This window comes from Homo sapiens, chromosome 1 (assembly GCF_000001405.40).
Source record: "Homo sapiens chromosome 1, GRCh38.p14 Primary Assembly".
NCBI classification, from domain to species: Eukaryota; Metazoa; Chordata; class Mammalia; order Primates; family Hominidae; genus Homo; species Homo sapiens.
Window position 1 is genome coordinate 163,686 of NC_000001.11, and position 18,517 is coordinate 182,202.

Sequence of the window (18,517 nt, forward strand, 5' to 3'; positions counted from 1 at the left end):
CAAGAGAGCAAAAAGCAAAGGGGGAGGAGAAACTAGGAAAATCATATATGGGCTCTCACCTATTTCCAAAGCTGGGCTAATGTCCTTTTGCTTGTGTCTGAATAAGGCACCAATTTTAAGCTGATAATGAAAAAAAAAGAAAAAGAGAAAGAAGCAGGCCCAGGCTGGGCGCAGTGGCTCATGCCTGTAATCCCAGCACTTTGGGAGGCCGAGGCGGGTGGATCACCCAAGGTCAGGAGTTCTAGACCAGCCTGGTCAACATGGTGAAACACCATCTCTACTAAAAATACAAAAAATTAGCCAGGCATGGTGGCGCATGCCTGTAAATCCAGCTACTAAGGAGGCTGAGGCAGGAGAATTGCTTGAACCTGGAAGGCAGAGAATGTGGTGACCTGAGATCACGTCATTGCCCTCAAGCCACGGCAATGAGAACAAAATTCGGTAAAAACAAAACAAAACAAAACAAAATCACCATAAAATAACTCAGACTTAATTAAATACAACCCTAGTGGTGAATGACTAAAGATGGATTACTCATAACAGAGACAACAGTCCAATAAGAATCCAGGAATCTTACCTTTTAATAACAAAAAAATCCTTTCCTTCTAAAGTAACATCCTCTCAAGGCCAGGAATTCCATTAGTAGAAAGCCTTCCTAAAAAACAAAATTCCTGGCCAGGCATGGGTTCACGTCTGTAATCTCAGCACTCTGGGAGGCCGAGGCGGGAAGATCACTTGATATCAGGAGTCGAGGCGGGAAGATCACTTGACGTCAGGAGTTCGAGACTGGCCCGGCCAACATGGTGAAACCGCATCTCCACTAAAAATACAAAAATTAGCCTGGTATGGTGGTGGGCACCTGTAATCCCAGTGACTTGGGAGGCTAAGGCAGGAGAATTTCTTGAACCCAGGAGGCAGAGGTTGCAGTGACCAGCAAGGTTGCGCCATTGCACCCCAGCCTGGGCGATAAGAGTGAAAACTCCATCTCAAAAAAAAAAAAAAAAAAAAAATTCCTTTGGGAAGGCCTTCTACATAAAAATCTTCAACATGAGACTGGAAAAAAGGGTATGGGATCATCACCGGACCTTTGGCTTTTACAGCTCGAGCTATAAGAAAAAAAAGAAAAAGGGATATCATTTAAACACAGTATGTAGAAAAGAATAATTATTGAATCTGTACTGGTCTTTAACTTTTACACTTTGATCTTTAATTCTGTTATTGTGATTGAGTCCAAAGAAAAACAGTATGAGTAAAATAAAAAGAACACCAAAAATGCTAATATTCTGTTTACCGAAGTCTGTAGTGAAATATCCCATTAAATCCAAGTGCAGTGACACACCCATAATCCCAAGCACTTTGGGAGGCTGAGGCGGGTGAATCTCCTGAAGTCAGGAGTTCAAGGCCAGCCTGGCCAACATGGTGAAACCCCAACTCTACTACAAATACAAAAATTAGGCAGGCGTGGTGGCAGAGGCCTGTAATCCCAGCTACTTAGGAGGCTGAGGCAGGGAGAATTGCTTGAACACAGGAGGTGAGCTTGCCATGAGCTGAGATCATACCACTGCACTCCAGCGTGCGTGACAGAACAAAACTTCAACCTCCAAAAAAAAAAAAAAAAAAAAAAACAGCTAGCAGGTGACATTTGCTATAGGGAGACTAGGGATATGATCTTGCTGCAATCTTTCCATTTTAGTAAATCTAAACAAGTGTGAATCCATTCTGTTTCGTCCCCACTCCACTCCAGAGCCAAAACAAGAAAAACAATTATATTTCTAGTTCTTTAAAAACATATCTAACTAAATCATCTAATTAAAAGATAATATGCATGGTTCCATACTCTAAAAGAAAACTTATGTCCTGCATATCATGGACATTTGATGAATGCTTATTCAGTTGACTGGTGTAGACTTCAATAATAACCTGTTCAATGCATTATGCCAGATGAATCTTGCATCTCAAAAGTAGAACAAATATTGTTCTTTCAGTTTTGTCTACCCATAAATGCAATATTTACTAATAAAAAGAAAATGAGTTTATTGTTCTAGAGAGTATGAGAATTTTGACAACATGAATTCTCCTGTCCTAGGACATAATTAATACTTAGAGGCATACTATTTCATGTGGAAGCTACCATTAAATCAATGTTAAGTGTTAATTACCTCACATAATCTTCTAATCTGACTTGACTGAAGACGTACCTGACAAAGTTGATTTATCAAGTTGTAAATCTTCACCTGTTGAATTCATAAGTTCATGTCTGAAAGGTGAGAATAAATACTTAATATTCATTAGGCAATATTCAGCAAAGTAATATCCACTAGTACATATTTAATATTTCATCATGAACTGCGGGTGTGAAGAGAAAGGACAGGCTGGGCACAGTGGCTCACACCTGTAATCCCAGCAGTTTGGGAGGCCGAGGCAGGCAGATCATGAGGTCAGGAGTTCGAGACCAGCCTGGCCAACATGGTAAAACCCCGTCTGTACTAAAAGTACAATAATTAGCTGGGCATGGTGGCAGGCACCTGTAATCCCAGCTACTCGGGAGGCTGAGGCAGGAGAATTGCCTGAACCCAGGAGGTGGAGGTTGCAGAAACCATTATCACGCCACTGCATTCCAGCCTGGGCAAGAGAGCAAGATTCTGTCTCCATCAATCAATCAATAAAAATATAAGAAGGAAGCATTTACTGTGTATTTATATGTCTGGTATTATGTGAAGCACTTTACTATCTTATCAAATCTTCGGGACAGATCTTCAGTTCTCATGACCACAAAAGAGGATACTAAAGCTCAGACAGGAGAAGAGACGTGGCCAGCCTGTGTCCCCAGGGCCTATGGTCTTACCACTAGGTTACAGTGTTTCCAGATATCACATGTTGTGAGATTTTTGCTTTAAAATGAACCAAAAAAAAACCAAAGGTGAAAAAGGCATAAGCTATTAAAAAGTGGGAGAAACACTAAGAGAACCTTAAGCATGTAACTAAAAATATTATGGAAATGTTATTGAATACATTAGCAAATTTAGTGCTAGGTTTTCATTGAGGAGTAGGTTATATTACTCATGATGAAGAAAAATGTTCATTTTAAGTATATTAACATAAATACCATCAATATTGTTTATCATGTTTAAATGTTCACTTAAAGCAATTCAGTTAAAATTCTGCATATCATACAATTTTATAGTTTGCTAGTAGGTTACAAGTAAATAGTCACCCAAATAAAAACATCATGTTTTCCACTGGTTGTTGCTCTTTTTTAGGTGAGTATTTGATATATACCAACAGAGAGAGGATAATAACAAATCGCTAATTTCTTTCATCACTATATAAAGGTGGCTTCAGGATAGAATAGTATCAGTGTAATGATGAATTTGAAATCTAACATCAATTCAGTGATGCATCAAGATAAAAGTAGAGACAACAGGGGCACCTTGGTGAGTACTGAACATTTTATTTATTTATTTATTTTGAGATGGAGTTTTGCTCTTTTTGCCCAGGCTACAGTGCAATGGTGCCAACCTCGCCTCACTGCAACCTCTGCCTCCTGGGTTCAAGCGATTCTCCTGCCTTGGCCTCCCGAATAGCTGGGATTACAGACATGCGCCACCACACCCGTCTAATTTTGTATTTTTAGTAGAGACGGGGTTTCTCCATGTTGGTCAGGCTGGTCTCGAACTCCCGACCTAGATATCTGCCTGCCTTGGCCTCCCAAAGTGCTGGGATTACAGGTGTGAGCCACCACGCCCAGATGAATTCCAAATTTAACAAAGCAGACTAAGAGAAACAATTCATTTAAAAAAATAATATTTGGCCAGGCATGGTGGCTCACACCTATAATCCCAGCACTTTGGGAGGCTGAGGTGAGTGGATCAGGAGGTCAGCAGTTCAAGACCAGCCTAGCCAAGATCATGAAACCCCGTCTCTACTAAAAATACAAAAATCAGCCAGGCGTGGTGGCTGGTGCCTGTAATCCTAGCTGCTCGGGAGGCTGAGGCAGAGAACTGCTTGAACCCGGGAGGCGGAGGTTGCAGTGAGCCGAGATCGTGCCACTGCACTCCAGCCTGGGCGACAGAGTGAGGCTCCGTCTCAAAAAAAATAAATAAATAATTCAATGAAATTCCTAAGATCCAGGGCTTTGCAATAAATATGTAAATAAATTTCCAATCTCCATACTGAAAGTTTAAAAGAAATGCTAACTAATAACTAAAGAAATACAACTTTTCCTCAGCTTTGCAGCAATCTAGAAACAAAGTGTGTAGACACTACAAAGCACCTTACAAGGAGAAACATGTAAGGATGGCATGACTCGCCGGCAGCCCTGGGATTGTCCACGGTACCCCCATGATGAACAGTAACTCCACTGTGTAAACGCCCATGAACCTAAGATTACAAGACTTTTCCAGTTTAGACATACCATATTTTCTTTCAGACAATTCTTCAGTTTGTTTACGTAGATCAGCGATACGATGATTCCATTTCTCTGAAAACCAAGCAAAAGTTGCTTCTCAATAACACGTCCCTATGTCAGAGCAGCACTAACATATAATGACTGATTTCATATATTTTACATTCTAACAGTCCATATCATTTTACTGCTTTCAAGAAAAAATTTCCCCTTCTTGGTGGTTCTTAGAATTGGTTTAATGGGAGACTATTAGAGAAGCTGAAAAGCAGGAGGGCAGAAAAGCTCAATCAAATTAAACACAATAACAGGGAGGTCACAATGAGGCGGTCTCCAGGGGTCTTTTAGCAAACTTCCTAAAACATGTCTCAGCTGTGTGAAATAAGACTTTACAGCAGCCGGGTGCAGTGGTGCAGGCCTGTAATCCCAGCACTTTGGCAGCAGAGGCAGGCGGATCACTTTGAGCTCAGGGCAACATAGCCAAAACCCCCCTCCCTAGCCCCACCCCCACCCCGTCCCTACCAAAAATACAAAACAGCAGGGCATGGTGGCGGGCGCCTGTAGTCCCAGCTACTCAGGAGGCTGAGGCAGGAGAATCACCTGAACCCAGGAGGCAGACATTGCAGTGAGCCAAGATCACGCCACTGCCAGCCTGGATGACAGAGCAAGACTCCACCTCAAAAAAAACAAAAACAAAAACACAAGGTTAAGAGGGACCCCCGACCTTACAGATACAAGTTTAAGAGGGACCCCTAAGCAAAAAATGCCAACCCTTTTTCTCCCAATCATTGAAACACCAGGAGGGTGTAACAGTTTTGCAGCCTAGCTGTAGCAGGCTGATGCCCCCAAGATGCCCATATCCTAATCCCGGGAACTAGTGAACATGACCTTATATGGCAAAAGGAACTTTGCAGATATAATGAAGTTAAGGGTCTTTGGCTTTTGGGGTTGATGTACTCACTCGGATCCTTGTAAGAGCAGAGCAGGTGATGGAGAGGGTGGGAGGTGTAGTGACAGAAGCAGGAAACTCCAGTCATTCGAGACGGGCAGCACAAGCTGCGGAGTGCAGGCCACCTCTACGGCCAGGAAACGGATTCTCCCGCAGAGCCTCGGAAGCTACCGACCCTGCTCCCACCTTGACTCAGTAGGACTTACTGTAGAATTCTGGCCTTCAGACCTGTAAGGGAATACATTTTGGTTGTTTTAAGTCACTAAGTGTGTGGTAATTTGTTGCAGCAGCCACAGGAAACTAGTATTGTAGTGAAGCCTCAAAACCCCCCTGAAGGGGCTGGGCTCAGTGGCTCATGCCTGTAATCCCAGCACTTTGGGAGGCCGAGATGGGTGGATCACTTGAGGTCAGGAGTTCGAGACCAGCCCAGCCAACATGGTGAAATGCCATCTATACAAAAAATACAAAAACTAGCCGGGCATGGTGGCACATGCCTGTAATCTCAGCTACTCAGGAGGCTGAGACAGGAGAATTGTTTGAACCCAGGGGGGCAGAGGTTGCAGTGAACTGAGATTCCACCACTGCACTCCAGCCTGGGTGACAGAGCGACGCTCCATCTCGAAAACAAAACAAAACAAAAAAACCCCACCTGAAGGTTTCCAGTTCTGCCAGCACTCTCCCACCCAACCCCCAGAAACAGACATTCCATTGCTGTGGGCCACGGACAGGCAGAAGGAAGCACCTCCTCATGGCAGAGGCCTACCCAGGAGAAACCCAAGGGAAGGCACTACTGGGCTGGCCCCTCTCTGCCAAGGCCATATTCTTTTTTTTTTTTTGAGGCCAGTTTCACTCTGTCTCCCAGACTGGAGTGCAGGGGCACAATCTCGGCTCACTTCGACCTCTGCCTCCCCAGTTCAAGTGATTCTCCTGCCTCAGTCTCCTGAGTAGCTGGGATGACAGGAGTGTAGCATGCCTAGCTAATTTTTGTATTTCTAGTAGAGATGCGGTTTTGCCATGTTGCCCAGGCTGGACTCGAACTCCTTGCCTCAAGTAGTCCACCTGTCTCAGCCCCGCAAAGTGCTGCTATTATAGGAGTGAGCCACTGCACCCAGCATTTGCCAAGACCTTTGATGGCAGGCTTTTTCCAGGTGATCAGTCCTTGTCTGGTCTGGCTCTGCCCCACTCTCCTTCTCACCTAGTTGGAATCCCTAGCTACTTTTCAGTAGAGGAGAGTGTGTACCCCAATCCCAGCTTGGTTCAGATCTGCATTTAACTCATGGAACCTGGCTGCTCCCCAGGTTCTGAAGAAAAAAACGGTCTCTCTGTGGGTATGATAAAGGATGGGCCTGTCCCCAGGACCCTGTGAGAGGGAAGCCCAATGTCCCACCAGGTTGGCAGGGCTGGGGAAGGGAAAGTGTTATGGCAGCCCCAAGAAAAAAAAGAGGCAGCAGAGGGAGCAGGAGAGCGCTCACATGGAACTCATGCCACTGCCTGAGGGGAGGGAGGAGTGCACGCCAGTGACGTCAGGGGGCAGAGAGGCGCAGTTCCAGGGCGGCTTTCCCCCTCACTTCCTGCCATGTTACTCTGATCGCCTCCACGTGAGCCTGCCCACTTTGTGCCCAGGGGCCTGTAGAAAACCACAGCTCCCCATGGTTATGGCCCCAGGAGTGGGGCAGAGCAGGGAGGAGTCCTGCACAGAGGAGAGGCAGGGGCAGGAGGGAGTGGGCCTCAAACTCCAGGAGGGGGCCCTTCTCATGGGTCCTGCTTTCTGGCTTCTCCTTCCTTACCCCTGGGCTGATCACTTGGGGAAGAACTGAGACAAAGTTTCTCACCCTCAGGCCCAAAGGGTTTAATTACTGGGCCCTTAGGGAGGTGTGAGCCCCCTGAAAGGATGCAAGGTTTTGTTTTGTTTTGTTTTTTGAGACAGAGTTTCGCTCCTGTCGCCCAGGCTGGAGTGCAGTGGCGTGATCTCACCACACTACAACCTGCGCCTCCCAGGTTCAAGTGATTCTCCTGCCTCAGCCTCTGGAGTAGCTGGGATTACAGGTGGCTGCCACCACGCCTGGCTAATTTTTTGTATTTTTAGTAGAGACAGGGTTTCGCCATGTTGGGCAGGCTGGTCTTGAACTCCTGACCTCAGGTGATCCGACTGGCTCCGCCTCCCAAAGTTCTGGGATCACATCAGCCACTGTGCTTGGCCACGATGAAAGGTTTTGTGTGGAGAGCATGTACATGCCTTTCTGGGAAAACAGTCCACAGCTCTTATTCTCAGCAGGCTTCACGGTGAAAAAAGGTTAGAACTCTTGCTACAGAGCTGTGGAAGCAGCCAGGTGAGGGGCCTGCCAAGGGCACTCTGGGCACTACCTGGGCACTCTCGAGCCCATCATCCCCTAGGCAGGCTGCACTGCTTGGTATTTGCAGAGCTGAGGGGGTGGGGCATGTGGGGACTGTGAAATCGCCCTGAGATGACCCACAGTCCTCAGCTAGGAAGTAAGCGCTGCATCTCCTGCAGCGTCCTCCATCCCTAGAGCCATGGGGCCAGGAGAACCGGCCCTTGCAGCAAGTGAAAAGCCTATTATTGATTCCCTCCCTAGCCATGTAGACAGTGAACCAAGACACTCATATCAGGTAAATGCCTTGTTCTCTGTTACCAAGGTAACCAGTAGGCATTCCCAGATACAGCGAAGGTCCTCACACCAAGATATGCACCTGGCCACCTGAGGAAAGAGAAAGGACTATCTGAGGGGACGGGGCTGAGCTGGGTGTGGAGTGGTCCTTGTGGGTCTTGGAGAGTGGGAGGGGGAACAGCATGAGCCAGGCCTCGAGGCAGAAGGACAACCAGGAGACAGCCTGGAAAAAGTGCTGGACCCACAAGGGCTCAAGGCTGGCCAGAGGGGAGGTGGGATAGGCTGTAAAGTCCTGAGGTCTGAAGATTGGCCCTGGCAGGAAGAAACCAGGTAAGGTGGGGTGTTACCTACACCCTCGGGGCCAGATGCAGGCCAGAGCCAGCCAATTACCAGGCCCTTAGGGAGGTGTGAGCCCCTTGAAATGATGCAAGGTTTTTTGTTTTTGTTTTGGAGACGGAGTTTCGCTCTTGTCACACAGGCTGGCACCTTTGCCCAGAGCAGGCACCAAGACTTCTGGCTCTGGGTGTGACCTCAGTCTGGGTAAAAGCCCCAGCCCCCACCAGCACCACCTACCCCCTAGACTACTTCAGGTGCTGAGCCCAAGCCAGGGGCAGGAAGCTAAACTGATGCCTAGGGTAATCCCAACAAAGTCCCTGGTTCCCCGCAGCTATGGGGCTGACGGGGAATTACAGCCCAAACCCCAGATGCTGGCTCTCAAACTAACACTGAGCCCTCAGTGCCCACAGGGAGATACAATCAGCGCACTTTCCAGATGGGGAAATGGGATCAGAGAAGTGCAACAGCCTTGCCCAATGCCCCAGACCAGGGCTCCAGGCCCAGAGTGTTCTTTTGTCACTGTGTTCAGAGGGCAGCAGCTGCTGTGATGTACCCACCTGAGCCTGGCAGCTCTCTCCAACTTTGGAAGCCCAGGGGCATGGCCCCTGTCCACAGATGCACCTGGCATGAGGCGTGCCCAGAGGGACAGAGGCAGATGAGTTTCGTCTCCTCCACTGGATTGTGAGGGCCTAGAAGGAGACAAGGGTCTGCTTGAGAAGGCAGTGAACAGCGAGCAGCCTGAGGCAGTGCCCCTCTGGATGGATGCGCAGTGCCTGGATGGAACCTGGCTCAGACAGAGCTCAGTTCTGCAGGTCCCTGAGGCATGGAGAGTTCACAGCTACCAAGTGTAGGAGTCTGGATTCAAAGCCAACGGCGTGACTCCAAAGTCCCTGCCCTAGCCCCTGGACCACCCTTGCAGGCCCATCAGATGCCCAGGCCAGCAGCACAGCCGGCCAAGACCAGGGAAACTTGGGGAGCCTCAGAGCACCCCCAGGTATTCCAACCTAACCCTGGTGCCCCGCCTCTCACCACCCTTCTTCCTGCTTTAACCTCAACCCCTACACAAAGCCTGGGCCACTTAATGTGGCATCAAACAGACGCCTCAATAAATCAGTCTAATCTCGAAAATAAAAAAGACTTAACAGATATACAATTGCACGTTAGAATGCTAAAAACCATAAACATATAACAACTTAAAGTACATATAAATTCAATATATATCCAATCATTGTAACTATGACACAGTAGAATATTAAAATACTATTTTCAAAATGTATACAAGCTTAATGTTCTATGTATTCAAACTATTTATTCAAAATACAAATCATCAACATACATTGCCACTAATATTCAGTCCCTTCACAGGACATGATTCACTGGGAGTTAATAAATTAGCAGCCAGCAGGCAGTGACACACCGCAAAAATGAAAACCAAGAGGTGAAATAGTTCTGAAATAAAGGTTTTAAAGCTAACAGAAATCACTGAATTACTAAGTCATTAGCACTAATTTTGAGCCAACTAACTAATTAATATGAGATGATACAATGTCCTATACTTTGGTAAATACAGACTATGTTTAAACAATGTCTGTAACGTGACTTGTAAAATGCTCCTGGCTTTACAAAGATGTGATTAAGATGTAGTAACACATGCTAAACCATTTCCCCCTGCAGAGCATGTGGTAACTTTCATCAGTCACACTGAGAGTACAGAAGATAAAGGAAAAGGTCATGGATTTCGCTGAGAACTTACCAGAGTTGAACTCCCTCATTTTCCGTTCCCCAGCATTGGCAGGTTCTGGGACTGGTGGCTGTGGTGGCTCGTTGGTCTTTGTCTCTTAGAAGGTGGGGAATAATCATCATCTTGAAAAAGAAAAAATGGTCATTACTGAAGGAACCATCTTAGGTTACAGCCACCTCTGGGTCAATTCCCAACATTCAAAAGCTGAGCAGGGCTTTAAAGCTATCTTATTAATAATTATTTCTGTATTGCGAACTTCAGCATACTTTTTTCTAGTTACATTTGAAATGTTATTCTTTTGGGATGTGCTCAAGTGAGTACTGCTTTTTCCTCTGCCTTGCTTCATTACTTTTTAGTTTCCTTCATTTGAATCATCATTGTAAGTCTCCCCTTCTCCTCAAATAACTTTCAAATTGCTGCCAAGAACTACGTTCTATCTTAAGGCTTTTGAGAAAAAACTTTCAATGAAGATAGCCGCCTAAAGTTATACAAATATAGAAGAAACGGGATAAAATAAAGCTTAGATTGGAAAAAATATTTAAGATTCTACAAAATTCACGCGTAAACAAGGGAAGCTGAGTAATTGTATGTTCAAATACTTTTAACAAGTGCAAAACATGTAGGCTTAAAGAAATAGAGCTGGCCAGGCATGGTGGTTCATGCCTGTAATTCCAACAGTTTGGGAGGCCAAGGCAGGCAGATAACTTGAGGTCAGGAATTCGAGACCAGCCTGGCCAACAGAGTGAAACCCTCTCTCTACTAAAAATACAAAAATTAGGCCAGGAGTGATGGCTCACGCCTGTGATCCCAGCACTTTGAGAGGCCGAGGCGGGTAGATCACCTGAGGTCAGGAGTTTGAGACCAGCCTAACCAACATAGGGAAACCCCGTCTCTACTAAAACTACAACATTAGCCGGGTGTGGTGGCACATGCCTGTAATCCCAGCTACTCGGGAGGCTGAGGCAGGAGAATCCCTTGAACCCAAAAGGCAAAGATTGTGGTGAGCCGAGATTGTGCCATTGCACTCCAGCCTGGGCAAAAACAGCGAAACTCCGTCTCAAAAAAAAAAAAAAGAAAAAATTAGCCAGGCATGGTGAAGTTGCAGTGAGCTGAGACTGCACCATTGCACTCCAGCCTGGGTAGCAGAGCAAGACCCTGTCTCAAAAAAAAAAAAAAAAAAAAAAAAAAAAAAAGAGAGAGAGAGAAAGAAAGAAAGAGGGCTACATTATTTATGAAACAGATACTGTTAACTCAGTCACCAGAAAGCCTGTGTATAAATGAGCAGTGAGATATTCAAGCACAGCACACACACACTTCTCAGGACAGCTGTCGTGAGTGTTCCATGCTCGTTTCCTTCTGGATACATCAGCAACTCACTCTGCTATGATCCTGCAATACATCTCATGTTAGAATTAGAGACATCTGGGCCAGGCACAGTGGCTGACGCCTGTAATCCTAACACTTTGGGAAGCCGAGGCAGGCAGATCACCTAAGGTCAGGAGTTCGAGACCAGCCTGGCCAACATGGTGAAATGCTGTCTCTACCAAAAATACAAAAAATTAGCTGGGCATGGTGGCGCGCGCCTGTAATCCCAGCTACTCGGGAGCCTGAGGCAGGAGAATCGCTTGAACCCGGGAGGTGGAGGTTGCAGTGAGCCGAGATCGTGCCACTGCACTCCAGCATGGGGGACGGAGCAAGGCTCTGTCAAAAAAAAAAAACAGAAAAAGAAAAAGAAAAAAGAATTAGAGACATCTGGATCAAATCAGCTGCCAGTCTCGCAAAGTGTCGGGTAACATCCTATTAAGCTTGCTGCTTACACATCATCTATAAAATACTGAAAATATCATTTTAAGAAATCTTTTTTTTATTTTGAGACAGAGTTTTGCTCGTTGCCCAGGCTGGAGTGCAATGGTGCGATCTCAGCTCACTGCAATCTCTGCCCCCTGGGTTCAAGCAATTCTCCTTCCTCAGCCTCCTGAGTAGCTGGGATTACAGGCATGCACCACCACGCCTGGCTAATTTTGTATTTTCAGTTGAGACAGGGTTTCTCCATATTGGTCAGGCTGGTCTCGAACTCCTGACCTCAGGTGATCCACTGACCTTGGCCTCCCAAAGTGCTGGGATTACAGGTGTGAGCCACCATGCCTAGCCAAGAAACCCTTATTTTAAAACAAGCCAGGCGCGGTGGCTCATGCCTATAATCCCAGCACTTTGGGAAGCCAAGGCAGGTGGATCACTTGACGTCAGTAGTTTGAGACCAGCCCGGGCAACATGTTGTAACCCCATCTCTACTAAAAATATATTTTAAAAATTAGCTGGGCATGGTGGTGGGCACCTGTAATCCCAGCTTCTCAGGAGGCTGAGGCAGGAGAACCACTTGAACCTGGGAGGTGGAGGTTGCAGTGAGCGGAGATCACGCCACTGCACTCTAGCCTGGGTGACAATAGAAAGACTCCATCTCAAAAACAAAACAAAACAAAACAAAACAAAAAACCACTAAAAAAAAGACTCCATTTCAAAAACAAAACTAAAACCAAAAACACAACACAAATGTAGTACACAAATGAAGATAATTACTGTGTTAAACACAGTTTCATAGAAAATAAAAGACCAATCAAATACAATAAGCTGACTTTTTAGATGGGTATGTTATTCTTCTTTCACAGCTAAAGAAACAGGCTCAGAGAATGTTATTTGATTGGACCGTGTTGCATTTCTGGACAGTGCAGCTGAGATCAGACTTTGTGTGTAACTCCACTAGCCTACCAGGGTGCCTCTCATAAAGGTAAGAAATGTAAATTTGGCCTAATATACAAAGTTGCCAGGGCAGCACTGGGTCAATTCTACATACAGTACTTCTATGTTCATCAAGGGAAACCTTAAGGGAAAGTGAAAATGCTTCTAGAAGGCGACTGGACACCAGCGCCTTTGCTTGTTGCCTTTGGGCTCTTCTTCTAAGGCCAACAGTGACCTGAAATTATTGACTGGCTTTTCCAATCAAGTGGACAAAATGGTACCAAGGTCACCAACATCGATGTAGAACATCGATGTTCTACAACATTGCTTAACGCAAGGGGAGACGCTCCTGACTCAGAGTGTTTAATTGCTCACCTACTTCTTTTTCTGCCCTCTTGGGCTTCTGAAATGAAAAGAACCCTGGGGTGATACAGTGAGTCAAAGGGGTGCCAGCCGCATCACAGCAAAATAGATTCCTAAAAAATCCCTGGCCTAAGATGACAGCCTTGGCTGGATCAGTTTGAATGTGCTGATAGTGGACATGGTAGAATGAAGGTGGTTGAAATGTTCATATTAAAGAACTTCCACCCAGATTGCAAGAAAAGAGAGAAGAATGGAGACGGCAGCACGAGCCCCTACAATAAAAGCAGATGTTTTGAGATCAGTTATATTTCTTCTGACAAAAATTAAAGACAGAAACCAAAGTTTAGCCTGAGACTACAATTAATTGGGCAATAAGCCAGAGGCACATATGGCATAAGACAGATTTAAACATTTCTCCCTGATATTAATACAAACACTAAAATTACAAATACTTTGATTCCAAATAAAACAAATATTTAAAAAATTTAATGAATAAACACTGGGGTCTACAGTAGTATTTGAAGATCTCACAAACAGGTTTGGTTTTTGAAGGTTAGAACTGGTGGTCTAGAGAATTCATTTCATTCCAGAGAAAGAAAGAGAGGAATTTCTTGGGTTCCTTCAGGAATGCGTCTAGCTTTGCCTCATCTTTGTTTGAACTATGGATACGGCAGAAGAAAACATGAGGATTTCACAGATTTAAGGTGCAAAAAGTCACTGGGTTCTCTAAGAAGTCTGGGATTCTTCTGCTGGAAAAATAAGTTTGTTGAGAAAAAATGAGTTGGAGGAGGCTGTTATTGAAGTGAAGCAGAATTGTTTTTACTAGTCTGCTTATTACCCACTCTGTAGTGTGGAAACAAATTATTCATGCACAAGGTCCTCTTACTGTTCCTAGAATGCAGTGGAAAGAGAACAGATTAGTTTTCCTCCCTCAGAACACAACCCCTAGAAACATCCTACCTCAGATGAGATATTGCCTAATTATTTTCAAAAGACAGTGAAACATCATGGATGTAAATGTTTGCTACAAAATAAATACATGCTAGAAACAGAAGCATCTGGGTCACAGCTATATTAGAGCTACCTGTGTTCCCCTGTCACTGACATTAAAACAAAAATGTCCAATACAATCATTCACAGCGTGGGAGAGGGGAAGTTGAAGGATGGAAAGGCCAGGCATAAAAGGATTTCAGAATTTCCGTCCATAAGGAAGTGGCTTTGTGCACTGTCTGTTACTGCGTGCAAGGTGAAATTTGAAGAATGAAAACGTGCAGTAACAAGGGCTCCTTCGTCCAACTCACCTCTCCAGATACCAACTTTCAGACATGTTGCATTTTAATTGAAAGGTTGATATAATTTTTTTTAAAGAACACTTGCGGTGTTTGAAGTGACAAAGGCTGCTGTGACAAAAAAGCAGGGAAAGGGAATTTTTTTTTAAAAGCAAACAACAACAACAGAAACCCCACAGAAAAGCAAACAACAAACAAACAAAAAACAGAGGAAGTAGTCGAACACCCTGGGCTGTGACTACTTCCAGGAAGGGGCTACAAGAGGCAGTTGGAAATTCTATTTGTTTTGCAACTGTGGGTTTTCCGGCCTGCTTCCTTTCTAAAGCATATTACTCTGCTTTTGGTTCATGAAGTTATCCATTTCTGTTTTCTGGAACAGCTATGTATTTTCTTTATCTATCATCTATCTATCTATTTACCATCTATCTTTTCTACCTTTCGCTATCAAGAGCTTGGGTCAAGCAGGATAGAATTCCAGTGTATGTTCACTCTACCATTTAAAACAAGAGCTCTTGTAGGCATTCTCCATCACATCATAAACCTGAGCTTTCTAAAACAGGGTGTGGCAAACTACCATGCATGGACCATGTCTGACACAGTCTGCATTTGTAAGTAAAGTTGTAATGGGACACAGCCAATACATGTGTTACATAATGTCTCTGGCTACTTTCATGGTATAATGGAAGAGCTGAGTCATTGAGAGAGAGACCATATGGCTTGGAAAACTTAAAATATTTAACATTTAGCCCCCTGCAGAAAATACTTGCTGACTCTTGTTTTAAAAGATCTCTGTTTAGAATGCTACCTATTGCGTTCTGGATAGAATCACAACTCTTTACCACAATCGACACAGCTTCAGCCCTGCTTCTATATCCAGCCTCATCTATTTCTGCTCCTCCTCCTTATTTTCCTTCTGGCCATGCTGATGGATTGTCAGCTTCCCAGATGTGCAAGAATCTCTCCTCCCTTCCCAACATTCTCATGCTCTCCCTCTGCCTCTGAAGAACTTCCTGCCCCATCTCTCATGACAAATCCTTTCTACATTCTTTAAGATGCAGCCCCTTTGCTCCTTCCTTAAGGATGTCTGTCTGGCTCTATTTTGGGTGACGTGCTCCTTCTGCATCTCCCAGAGCCAGCCTGTGTGTGTCAGCTACAACATTTCTTTGCATCTCTGTGTCATATATCACCAAATCTGCCTAAGCTTGCATGAGTCACTGCATGACAACTTCAGACTCCACCAGCATTGTCCCCACTAACCACAAGGCTTAGACATTCGTCCAGTATGCTCGGGGTTGTGGGGTGGTAGCAGTAACCGGCTGGTGACCATCATTTCTTACATCAGAATCAAATCTGTAGATCTCTGCCATTCATAAGTATTTGGAGTTTAAAATTAGCATAAAGATTTTCCTTAAAATAAGAACAAATGGCTTGAGTAGGCTTTTGGAACACAGGATGTTTCCACTGGTTCATTTCTGTGTTCAATATTCCCACATGAATCTAAACACGGCTCTGCTCTTAGTAGCTATGTGACCCTAGGAAAGTCACTCAATCTCCCTCAGCTAAATTTTGTTGTGTGAGTAATGAGGAGAGAGTTGTGATTTGTATTTAGTGAAAAATAACAAACAAAAGGCATTTAGATTTCTGGAACCTGGTATGTAGTAGAACCTCATGAAATACTAGCTCTGTTGAAAAAACTAGACTGAAAGAAGCTTACAAAGTCAACAAGAGTTTGAGGCAGTGAAGGACTTAGAGGAGGAGCTGCTGCTGCAGCCTGTAGCTCCTGGAAGCCCGTTTTGTCCATGATTTAGCAGGAATGCATTACCCTTCCATGAGGAGGCACTGCCCACAGAAACCAAGGCCATTCTTTGAAGACAAACATGTCTTAATAGCCTTTACATTATGTAATAGTGTAATACAAATAATAATTTATTATTAGTAATAATGTGAAATTATTTACAGTACCCTAACCCTAACCCTAACCCCTAATCCTAACCCTAATCCTAACCCTAACCCTAACCCTAACCCCTAACCCCTAACCCTAACCCTAAAACCCTAACCATAACCCTTACCCTTACCCTAATCCTAACCCTAATCCTTACCCTTACCCTTACCCTGACCCTAACCCTAATCCTTACCCTTATCCTACCCCTAACCCTTAACCCCTAACCGCTAGCCCTAACCCTTAACCCTAACCATAACCCTAAAACGCTAACCCTCATCCTCACCCTCACACCTCACCCTCACCCAAACCATAATCCCTAACCCCTAACTCTTAACCCCTAACCCTAACCCTTGACCCTAACCCTTGACCCTAACCCCTGACCCTGACCCTTAACCCTAACCCCTAACCCTTAACCCTTAAACCTTAACCCTCATCCTCACCCTCACCCTCACCCCTAACCCTAACCCCTAACCCCTAACCCAAACCCTAACCCTAAACCCTAACCCTAAACCCAACCCAAACCCTAACCTGAACCCTAACCCGAACCATAAACCTGAACCCTAAATCCGAACCTGAACCCGAACCCTAACCATAACCCAAACCCGAACCCAAACCCTAACCCCTAACCCCTAACCCTAACCCTACCCTAACCCAACCCTAACCCAACCCTAACTCTAGCCCTAACCCTAACCCTAACCCTAACCCTAACCCTAACCCTAACCCTAACCCTAACACCCTAACCCTAACCCTAACCCTAACCCTAACCCTAACCCTAACAACCCTAACCCTAACCCTAACAACCCTAACCCTAACCCTAACCCTAACCCTAACCCTAACCCTAAACCCTAAACCCTAACCCTAACCCTAACCCTAACCCTAACCCCTAACCCCTAACCCTAACCCTAACCCTAACCCTAACCCTAACCCTCGCGGTACCCTCAGCCGGCCCGCCCGCCCGGGTCTGACCTGAGGAGAACTGTGCTCCGCCTTCAGAGTACCACCGAAATCTGTGCAGAGGACAACGCAGCTCCGCCCTCGCGGTACTCTCCGGGTCTGTGCTGAGGAGAACGCAACTCCGCCGGCGCAGGCGCAGAGAGGCGCGCCGCGCCGGCGCAGGCGCAGAGAGGCGCGCCGCGCCGGCGCAGGCGCAGAGAGGCGCGCCTCGCCGGCGCAGGCGCAGAGAGGCGCGCCGGGCCGGCGCAGGCGCAGAGAGGCGCGCCGCGCCGGCGCAGGCGCAGAGAGGCGCGCCGCGCCGGCGCAGGCGCAGAGACACATGCTAGCGCGTCCAGGGGAGGAGGCGTGGCACAGGCGCAGAGACACATGCTAGCGCGCCCAGGGGAGGAGGCGTGGCGCAGGCGCAGAGAGGCGCGCCGTGCTGCCGCAGGCGCAGAGACACATGCTAGCGCGTCCAGGGGGTGGAGGCGTGGCGCAGGCGCAGAGACGCACGCCTACGGGCGGGGTTGGGGGGGGCGTGTGTTACAGGAGCAAAGTCGCACGGCGCCGGGCTGGGGGCGGGGGGGGGGGGGGGGGCGCCGTGCACGCGCAGAAACTCACGTCACGGCGGCGCGGCGCAGAGACGGGTGGAACCTCAGTAATCCGAAACGCCGGGATCGACAGCCCCTTGCTTGCAGCCGGGCACTACAGGACCCGCTTGCTCACGGTGCTGTGCCAGGGCGCCCCCTGCTGGCGACTAGGGCAACTGCAGGGCTCTCTTGCTTAGAGTGGTGGCCAGCGCCCCCTGCTGGCGCCGGGGCACTGCAGGGCCCTCTTGCTTACTGTATAGTGGTGGCACGCCGCCTGCTGGCAGCTAGGGACATTGCAGGGTCCTCTTGCTCAAGGTGTAGTGGCAGCACGCCCGCCTGCTGGCAGCTGGGGACACTGCCGGGCCCTCTTGCTCCAACAGTAGTGGCGGATTATAGGGAAACACCCGGAGCATATGCTGTTTGGTCTCAGTAGGCTCCTAAATATGGGATTCCTGGGTTTAAAAGTATAAAATAAATATGTTTAATTTGTTAACTGATTACTATCAGAATTGTACTGTTCTGTATCCCACCAGCAATGTCTAGGAATGCCTGTTTCTCCACAAAGTGTTTACTTTTGGATTTTTGCCAGTCTAACAGGTGAAGCCCTGG

The 18,517-nt window shown here is 46.4% G+C and overlaps 2 long non-coding RNA genes and 1 pseudogene across 16 annotated transcripts in view, besides 2 other annotated features; 1 reads left to right on the forward strand and 2 right to left on the reverse strand.

Annotated features, from left to right (window-relative positions):
• Positions 1–11,561, reverse strand: part of LOC124900384 (uncharacterized) — a 54,398-nt gene extending 42,837 nt beyond the window's left edge. For 12 of the 13 annotated variants that reach the window (XR_007065328.1, XR_007065325.1, XR_007065330.1 and 9 more), the window contains exons 1-6: positions 10,068–11,561; positions 8,872–9,003; positions 5,364–5,579; positions 4,415–4,480; positions 2,199–2,257; positions 578–1,106 (exon numbers count right to left, since the gene is read on the reverse strand). This is a non-coding gene — a long non-coding RNA (uncharacterized LOC124900384). The remainder of the gene's footprint in view (positions 1–577; positions 1,107–2,198; positions 2,258–4,414; positions 4,481–5,363; positions 5,580–8,871; positions 9,004–10,067) is intronic. The other variant, XR_001737579.3, reaches the window with a different exon arrangement.
• Positions 1,004–1,107, forward strand: GTF2IP10 (general transcription factor IIi pseudogene 10; annotated as a pseudogene).
• Positions 8,521–9,021: an enhancer, noted in NCBI's record as "H3K4me1 hESC enhancer chr1:172206-172706 (GRCh37/hg19 assembly coordinates)". NCBI's record gives its function as "activates a minimal SCP1, AML or CMV promoter by ChIP-STARR-seq in primed H9 embryonic stem cells {active_cell/tissue: H9 hESC(primed)}" and the evidence as "EXISTENCE:reporter gene assay evidence [ECO:0000049][PMID:30033119]".
• Positions 9,022–9,522: an enhancer, noted in NCBI's record as "H3K4me1 hESC enhancer chr1:172707-173207 (GRCh37/hg19 assembly coordinates)". NCBI's record gives its function as "activates a minimal SCP1, AML or CMV promoter by ChIP-STARR-seq in primed H9 embryonic stem cells {active_cell/tissue: H9 hESC(primed)}" and the evidence as "EXISTENCE:reporter gene assay evidence [ECO:0000049][PMID:30033119]".
• Positions 11,562–13,622: 2,061 nt separating the features above from the next.
• Positions 13,623–16,420, reverse strand: LOC124903814 (uncharacterized). 3 transcript variants are annotated; one of them, XR_007065332.1, is made up of 2 exons: positions 13,997–16,420; positions 13,623–13,900 (listed from the first exon to the last, which is right to left on the reverse strand). It is a non-coding gene; the product is annotated as an uncharacterized LOC124903814 (long non-coding RNA). The 3 variants fall into 3 exon arrangements; XR_007065333.1 differs by having other exon boundaries at positions 13,623–13,903; XR_007065334.1 differs by having other exon boundaries at positions 13,623–13,903; positions 13,993–16,420.
• Between the last annotated feature and the right edge of the window lie 2,097 nt (positions 16,421–18,517).